Below are 9,654 nucleotides of genomic sequence, written 5' to 3'. Positions count from 1 at the left end.
GAAAATGATTAGATAAATTACAGCATATAGTATGCCATTCCAAAAATTTTTGTAAAATAATTGATGATATTATCCTCAGTAAACTAGCGCATGAACAAAAAACCAAACACTGCATGTTTTCACTTATAAGTGGGAGCTGAACAATGAGAACTCATGGACACAGGGAGGGGAACAACACACACTGGGGCCTGTCAAGGGGCGGGGTGGGGGGAGGAAGAGCATTAGGAAAAATAGTTAATGTATGTTGAGCTTAATATCTAGGTGATAGGTTGATAGGTGCAGCAAATCACCACAGCACATGTGTACCTATGTAACAAACTTGCACATCCTGCACATGTACCCTGAAACTTAAAATAAGAGTATTAACAGTTTAATTGCTTATTGCATATCGTAAAGCTACTACCCAGAGAGTTCAAATCATTTTTTTTACTTCAAGTTTATTAATTATCTCATCTTCTTTTATTCCCCTCAATATCTTCCTACTTTCAGAACCCCTCTCTGGTTCTTCACGCTCTGTGTATTCTTTTTCCAACTAAAAGGTCAGTCACCAGTTTCTTTGTCCCAATCAATATACATCATGAGGGAGCTGATATCATGCCTTTGTTTCTTCTATTTCTTCTAATGTAGGAAATAATTACGTACTTTTTAAAAAATCACACCTTAATTTAGACCTTTTTTTTCATGGCATGAGAACGTTTCAAACTGCCATCTATATATTCATAGATCTCCACCTTAAAAGTGTAACATTTCAAGCTTTAGTCAGGATACAATTACTCCTTTTTTACATTCACCATTTTTATGCTGCTACCAGGAGCTTTTTCAGCATTTGCTTTGACTTCAGTCATCAGTGTATTTCTTACTACTTTTGCACAGATCTGGGAGTTTTTGACATAGCTGAGCCCAGCCTGTTACCAATACATCCACATGATGTCATGACAGCAGATTAAGATTTGTTATTGGTTCAAATCTTGAAGCTACATTGAATGGTGGGCTGGGTGCAGTGGCTCATACCTGTAATCTTAGCACTTTGGGAGGCTGAGGCAGGAGGATCACTTGAGGCCAAGAGTTAAAGACCAGCATGGGAAACATAGGGAGACTCCTCTCTACAAAAATATTAAAAATTAAAAAAAAAAATTGAATGGCAGTTCAGGTATCGCTGCAGCTAACCTGTTGGAAGGTCACAGGCTGGTCAAAACAACAGCAACAACAACAATTCTTCTTTTGTTGAAGATAATAGAATGATAAATTATAAATGCTTCAGCAAAATGTGATAAAATGACTGATCTGTATTTGTGTCTTTAGTATGTAAAAATTTGATAGTAAGAAAACATTAAAAATTTACACATTGCACATCAATGTCTGCTAACATCACAAAAGGAATGATGAACAGGAACTATGTCTTCCTGATGGAAAAAACCAATTTGCCACACAAAAAAATTTAACATAAATCTGGTTTAATTTATAGGAAATACAGGTGACAGAGAAACATGTTAAATTATATCAGCAATCGGGAAAATAAGAAACTGATTTATAAGAATTATAAAAAAACACAAGTTGGAGGAAAAATCTAATGACTTAAAGAAATATAGAAGATACATTAACTAATGCAATGTTATAAACTTATTTGGATCTTGATTCAAAAGGACTGTTAAAATAATGATATATATGAGATCACTGAAAACTTTAACATTGATTAAGAAATTCATGATGGTTTGTATTTGTTTTTGTTTTTCTGTGATAGTATTACGGTTGTGCTAAGTAAATAGTCCTAAGTTTGTCCCAAAATTTTTAAAATAATTTTTAGTGATACATACTAACATATTTATTGATAAATTACATGATGTTAGGACTCTGAGTTAGATTTTTTGAAGTTTCTTTTGAGAAATTGAAGTCTCAGTTTGCCTTGGGATTAAAATTTACTCCCAAACTGAGAAATTAACATGAAAAGTAGACTTGAGTGACAAAACACTTGAATCACCAACAGGAGCAAATATAAAACCACTTTGCAATTTCTATTTTTTTTTTTTTTTTGAGATGAGTTTTGCTCTTGTCGCCCAGGCTGGAGTGCAATGGCACGATCTCTGCTCACTGCCACCTCTGCCTCCCAGGTTCAATTGATTCTCCTGCCTCAGCCTCCCGAGTAGCTGGGATTACAGGCGTGTGCCGCCACATGTGGCTAATTTTGTATTTTTAGTAGAGATGGGGTTTCACCATGTTGGCCAGGCTGGTCTCAAATTCCTGACCTGAGTGATCCCCTTGCCTCATCCTCCCAAATTGCTGGGATTACAAGTGTGAGCCACCATGCCTGGCCAGGAATTTCTTAAGAGCAGTTCTCTCCACATGGATTGCCAGAGAATTACCTATTTAAAATCAACTGTATCTTTTCACTTATCTTTCCAGTTTAACTCTCTCTAGAGCCCGAACACAACAATCCTTCAACTCCACTAGAATCTCTAATTTATTGATCCTATCACCTTTTCATGATCCTGTACTTTCTAGATATTCGTACTCCTCTCCTTACCCTGCTTAAATTCCATGATCTGGTTTTACAATTAGTATACACTGTCAACTCCATTGCATCTCTGCCTTTATGGTATTCACTTGGTAGAACTGCAACCTTGGTTAAATCCACCTGTGCTCACTGCCCTGGCATGCTGCAGCTGAATATGGCTGGGAAAAACACTAAAACACTGACTGGTCCCACTTTAAATTCATGACCTTAAACCTCAAATGGCCCCTTAGTGCGCCAAGGAATTTAACTACACATCCTGAATCCATTTCCTTTTCTCCTCTCCTACATCAGTGTTCTGTGCGTTCTCTGCTGTCGAATCCTGGGCACCTTCCCTCCCATCCTGTCAGATGACGAGTTTGCTTCCTACTTCTCTGAGAGAGTAGTAGAAGTTAGAAAAAACAAATTTCTACAAAACTTGCATTCTATGAACTTGCATTACCATATATGCTCACACTAGTCAGCTTGCCAGCCTTCATTCTCTGACTATAGATGAACGATTAGCACTTTGACCTCATACTAGCCTTTCAAATTGTGTACAGGACACCATCCCCTCCTGATTACTTGATGACTTCAGCAATTCTCTTTTCCCTCTCCTACACCATCAACTTATCCTCTCTTCTGGGACACTTTGAGTAGTAAATGTGCTGCTATAATTCCATCTTAAAATATGTGTGCATGCATGCACACCCAAACACACACATACCCAGGAGAAAAATGTCTCTTGATTCCACTTCCCCTCCAGATCCTCCCTCATTTTTCTGAACTCTATTGTAATTAAACTCTTAGAAAAAGTTGTCTATATTCATTGACTACAATTTCCCTCTTGCCATCAGGCTTTTGGTCCAGCCACTTCATCCTAACTGATCTCCCTATACAAATCCAAGGGTCAGTTTTCAGTCCTCATGTTACTTTACCTAACAACATCATTTGACACAACTAGTCATTCCCACCTCCTGGAAACACTATCCACTTGACTTCAGAATTCCAGTCTCTCTTGTTTCTTCTCTTGGTATCTCTGGATACTTCTCTTAGCCTCTATTGCTAATTCATCGTCTTTACAGTGAATCTCTCTCTCTTTTTTTTTTTTTTTTTGAGACGGAGTCTTGCTCTGTCGTCCAGGCTGGAGTGCAGTGGCTCGATCTCGGCTCACTGCAAGCTCCGCCTCCCGGGTTCACGCCATTCTCCTGCCTCAGCCTCCCGAGTAGCTGGGACTACGGGCGCCCACAACCATGCCCAGCTAATTTTTTTTATTTTTAGTAGAGATGGGGTTTCACTGTGTTGGCCAGGATGGTCTCAATCTCCCCACCTCGTGATCCGCCCACCTCAGCCTCCCAAATTGCTGGGATTACAGGTGTGAGCCACCGCGCCCGGCCGAATCTCTTAACATTAGAGTGCCCCAGGGCTCAGTCTCTGGACTTCTCTTCTCTTATTTATACATACACCTATGGTGATGACATCCAATCCATGACTTAATATCAGTTATATGTCATGATTGCCAATTTTAATTCTCGAGTTTGGACCTCTCCTGTGAATTCCATATTTATGTAGCAAGTTGCCTATTTGAAATCTCCAGTTGGGTGTATAATAGATATCTCAAATTTAAGATGTCCAATACTGAACGCCTTTATTTTCCCACCCTCAAATCATGCTCTATGTAGTTACTAAATGGAAATTACATTTTTTTAAGATGCTAGGCCCCAAACTTAAAGGCATTGTTGACATATTTTTTTTTCTTCTGTCACTGCCACCCACCTCCCCCGCCCCCCACCCTCCGGGCATATCCAGCACTTTAGGGAATCTTATTGGATCTACCTTCAATATAACATTGGTTTGATCAATTATTATCATTTCTACTGTTTCACCTTGGTTGAAGCCACCATCATCCCTCACCTAGATAACTATAGTAGTTTCCTAAGTGTTCTCCATGCTTCTACCCTTGACTCCTTTAATCTATATTCAAATAATATTCAAATTCAATTGCTACTTATTATGACTTACAAGACCCTATGCAATCTGCCTACCCACTATGTGCACTACACTCTCCTGCTACTTTCCCCAAATTCTATTTTCTACCGCCATACTGGCCTACTTGCTGTTCCTTGAAGATGCCAGTCACTCTCCCTCATTAGGAATTGAAAAGATCTTCTCCTGGAGAGCTCACTTTCTCACCTCTTTCAAGTCTTTGCTCATATAGTATTTTTCCAATGAAGCCAAACATGGCTATTTCATTTATTCTGCAATCACTCCCACTGCCACTGTAAAACTGCCATACACTTGACCTGTTCTGTATTTTTTCCATATGACCTATCATCTTATAATATATAATAAAATGTGCTTATTTTTTATGCTACTTGTGTATCTCCTATCACTACAATGTGGAATCCATTGTGAAGAGAGAATTTAATCTGTTTGCCACTTATGCATTCTCAGCACTGAGAAAAGGATCTGGCACTTACAAGAACTCAATTATTAATATTTGTCAATAGAATAAACAAATCTAAAATTACAAAACATTTGCGGATTTTTTTGTTATACAATAATTGGGTAAAGACTAAAAATATGCATGCTTAAACTGATTAAAGACAAAATAAGGAAAAACAAATGCGAAGAATAAGAAAAGTGACATAGGCTTATCAACATCAAAATGCCAAAAATAGCATTTTAACATGTAAAATATAAATAGAGGGAAAATGCTACACAAAAATAAAAGAAATAATCCAATAAGAAAATGATACTACATGAACTATATACACCGACAGGATAGTTTTGAGCTATTAAAAGCAAAAATGTACAGAATTATAGAAAGAAATTAACAGATGATCACAGAAAGATTTTAATAAATTTCTACCAAAAGAAGATTGGCGAAGGAGAGGAGAAAGATTAGTTAAGATATAGAAGAGTCAAACAATAAAATTATCAGATTTTATCTAATTTTTATGTATTCTATATGTATTATATAATATTTATATTCTATAGTACTCTCATTTATTTATGCTATTTAAATATTAAGTATATCAATATATTTGCCCCATAAAGAAAACCAGATGGTTCATTTTTCTATTTTTTATTTTTATTTATTTGTTTATTTTTGCCAGCCCGAGTTTTCATCGTTTTTTAAAATAACCACATAAAAGGCCATAAAAATTTCTTGAAAAATTAATGAGATGCATGCCATATTCTCTAATTTTGATTCAATTAAATATTTTTAAAGAAACAAACCCTGCTTAAATTTTGGAAACTGATATTTTAAAAACTTAATAATGTGCACAAATGTTTTGTATGGGTTAAAGGCATAAAAACAATTAAAACTACAAAATAGAATGAATAATTATCTGTGAAGTCTTACGGAGTATAGCTAAACTGTAACTAAGGATGAAATTCATAGCCTTAAGTACATTTCTTTAAAAAATGAGAAACACGATGCGTTCGGGCTCGGGTGGGTGTTGGTGGTGTCAGGGTGTAGTGGGCAGAGAAGACTCTTGGCCAGGCAGATGGCTTCCTGGTGGCAGGGAATGGGGGCCTCTGTGCGCCGGAAATCTCTACAGCACCAGGAGCAGCTGGAGGGCAGCAAGGAGCTGCAGCCTTTGGCCAGCCATCAGGAGACCTCTGCCGGGGCCCTGAGTTCCCTAAGCAGACAGCTCCAAAGGAGGCTGCCCCTGAGAGCTGTCAACCTCAGCCTCCAGGCAGGCCCCTCCTGGAAACGCCTGGAAACACCAGAGCCAGAGCCACAGGGCCTCCAGGCTGCAGCTCCCTCAGCTAAGAGTGCCTTGGGTGCCAAGTCCCAGAGAATCCAGGAGTCCTACCAAAGCGGCACCAAATGGCTGGTGGAGACCCAGGTGAAGGCCAGGAGGAGGAAGAGAGGGGCACAGAGGGCAGTGGATCACCAACTCACAGCCTGAGCCATGAGAGCACCCGGCTGTCTGGAGCCGCCCCTGCCCACTCAGCCGCAGACCCCTGGGAGAAGGAGCATCACCGCCTCTCTGCCCCATAGGCTCACCTGCCCACCCAGTAAGGTTGTCGAGGCGGGAGGCTGCCTTCCGGAGCCCCTACTCCTCAACAGAGCCCCTCTGCTCTCCCAGTGAGTCTGACAGTGACCGAGGGACGTCGGGGGCGGGAACTCAGCATCTCCAGAAGCTCTCCCAAGAGCTGGACGAAGCTATTATGGCGGAAGAGAGTGATGACATGACCGTCTCTCTCATTCACCACGGAGGAAGTGCCCTGCAGTTCTGTTCTGCAGGAAACAAGACCTGTCTGACCACCGAGGCTTCATACCCAAGGATGTCTGTGCTTCCAATGAGCTTCCTGGAGGAACCCCCCAGGAGTCATCAGTACCCCTGGGCCATGCTAACAAGGACCTGATTAACAAGGAGCCCTGTGCCCCCCTGCTCCAGCCACATCTGGACCCATCAGTGACTGCCTGCCACAGACTGGGAGTGTCTTGTGGAGATCTTGCAGAGGTGGGGACAATTGTTCCTTCTAGTTTTCCAGGGACTCTTGGGCTTAGAAACTCATCGCACACTTGACCTTGAGTCTTGTATTTGCTTCATCTGTAATGTGAAGTGCCAGCATCAGATGTTTGAGAGCTCTGAGCTGTGTACCTGGGTGCCTGGGTTTTGGGGAGTCATCTGCAGAATAACTCAACCCACTGTGTTTCCGGTGCCAAGGCTCTTGGTAGGGTCCCACTCTCATCCCTGCTTTTCCTACCAGGGACTCAAAGGAAGGCATAGGAGATATTTCCAGGCTTAAGACCATGGGCTCATGGGTACCTATTTATATGCCCAAAGCAGAGTACTGTGGGTGTGCTGGGAGGGGTAGCCCTGTTCAAGAGCAATTTCTGCCCTTTGTAAATTATTTAAGAAACCTCCTTTGTCATTTTATTAGAAAGAAACCTAGATAACATTGCGTTCTCATAATAAAGACTGTTTGCATTTGGAAAAAAAAGAGAAACACTTAAAATAAATTAGTTAAGCATTCAAATCAAGAAGCTGCACAAATAGTGAGAAAACTTGGAAAGAAATTATTTTTCAAGAGATATGAACAGAAATTAATGACTAGTAGACCAACTTAAAAACAGGTGATTCATAAAATCAATCTATTTATTAAAAGATAAATAAAAATACATTATCAAATAAAACTAATCAAAAGAATAAAGAAGCCACAAATAAATAATTTTAAGAAAAATGAAAAGAATGAATGTTTGAAAAGTCACAAGACAGCACCTTGAACAACTTTGTGTCAATAAATTTGAAAATGTTTAAATTTCATTTTTTCTAGAAAATATAAATTATCCAAATTGATTCAAGAAAAAATATGATATAAAAAAGCCAATAACCATTAAAAATTACATCAGCAGTCAAAAATTTCTCCCTTAAAATTGAAACCATACAAAATTAGTTTTATAAGTGATTTTTCAACCAAGTCTATGAGAAAAAAGATATTCTAGATCTTATTTTTAAAACTTTCCAAAAAGAGTAGACAAAGAAAGAAAATTATCTGCTTACAAAATCTAAGGACAGAACCAGAAAAGTACTGAGCAGTTTCACTTATGAACATAAATGAAAAATTCTCAAATAAAATATTAGAAAATAAATGTCACCAGTATATAACATAACACGTCATGACCAAGTAGTGTTTTCTGAGGAATAAAGTGATATTTCAACATCAAGAAATTATCAATATAGTCCACCTCATTAACATACGAAAAGGAGAAAAAGCAAAAAAAAGTTAATCAATGCAGAAAACGTATTTATTGCACTACTCATTTATGCTAAATTATTATTATTATTTATTTATTTATATATATATTTTTGAGACGGAGTCTCGCTCTATTGCCCAGGCTGGAGTGCAGTGGTGCTATCTCCGCTCACTGCAAGCTCCACCTCCCAGGTTCACGCCATTCTCCTGCCTCAGCCTCCCAAGTAGCTGGGACTACAGGCGCCTGCCACCATGCCCGGCTAATTTTTTGTGCTAAATTATTTTTTAGAAACCAGAATTAGAAGAAAACTTCTTTAACTTACTTGAAAAGGTATTTACCAAAAACTCCACAAACACCTTAATTAATGGTAAAATTTTATAAGCATTTTCTTTAATATAAAGAACATCAGAAAAATTATCCAAAACTTAGAATTGGGCAAAAAAGAATACCAGGTGTTCTTTCGGCACAGTTCTGGGTTTGCACCTTTAGTTAATTTTTCTATTGACCGTGCTGTTTTACAGTCTGTAAATACAGAGATTAACTTGCAGATATTTGTCTAGTACAGATGAAAATAATTTCTCTTTAGTGAAAGATACAACCTCAAAGTAAGGTTTATTGCTCTGTAGGGTATTAACCAGTTTTGTATTTAACCCAGCAATCTTATCCTAAAGTTCCTTTATTAAATTGCCTATATTTACTGCCTTAGCTCTAAAGGATTTTGTGTGTGTGTGTGTGTGTGTGTGTGTGTGTGTGTGTGTGTGTTTGAGACAGGGTCTGGCTGTGTCGCCCAGGCTGGAGTGCAGTGGCACCCTCACGACTCACTGCAGCCTCAACCTGCCAGGCTCAGGCTGATCCTCCCACCTCAGCTTTCCTAGTAGCTGGGACTACAGGCGCACACTACCACACCCAGCTAATTTTTGTATTTTTTGTAGAGATGAGTTTTTACCATGTTGCCCAGGCTGGTCTCAAATTCCCGGACTCAATTCAGGATCCGCCTGCCTTGGCTTCTTAAAGTGTTGAGATAATAGACATGAGCCACTGCGACGGGCCTGAAGTATTTTTTGAACTCATTTTAACATGTTCTTGGTTCTCCCATTAATTAATCAATTGAACAAAATCCTTGACACATACCCATTTTATATTTGCATGAGTCATGATTTTACCTTTTGTCAAGTACACTTAAACAAGAACAAGTGAAAGATATCTGTTAACACTGCTTCAATTCATCATATAATAAAAGACCTAAATAAAGTAAAATAAATAAGATGTGTGTGTAAGGATTAGAATAGAAGAGAAATAAAGTTGTGACCGTCAGATGATATGGTTGTCTACATAGAAAATCTAAGAATTTAAAAGACAACCATTAAAGCAATTAAGATAATTCAGCTAACTTGCTGAATACAAGGCCAATATAAAAGAATTGATAGCTTGCCTAAGAACTTAGCAA

At 38.7% G+C, this 9,654-nt stretch overlaps 2 pseudogenes; one reads left to right on the top strand and one right to left on the bottom strand.

Annotated features, from left to right (window-relative positions):
- On the bottom strand, window positions 595-1,013 carry ATP5F1EP1 (ATP synthase F1 subunit epsilon pseudogene 1; annotated as a pseudogene).
- On the top strand, window positions 5,942-7,444 carry PIMREGP2 (PIMREG pseudogene 2; annotated as a pseudogene).

The sequence above is a fragment of the Homo sapiens genome, chromosome 4 (genome assembly GCF_000001405.40).
Source record: "Homo sapiens chromosome 4, GRCh38.p14 Primary Assembly".
Lineage (NCBI taxonomy): Eukaryota > Metazoa > Chordata > Mammalia > Primates > Hominidae > Homo > Homo sapiens.
Note: the sequence above shows the minus strand (reverse complement) of the source record. Positions and strands in the feature narration are given on the sequence as shown.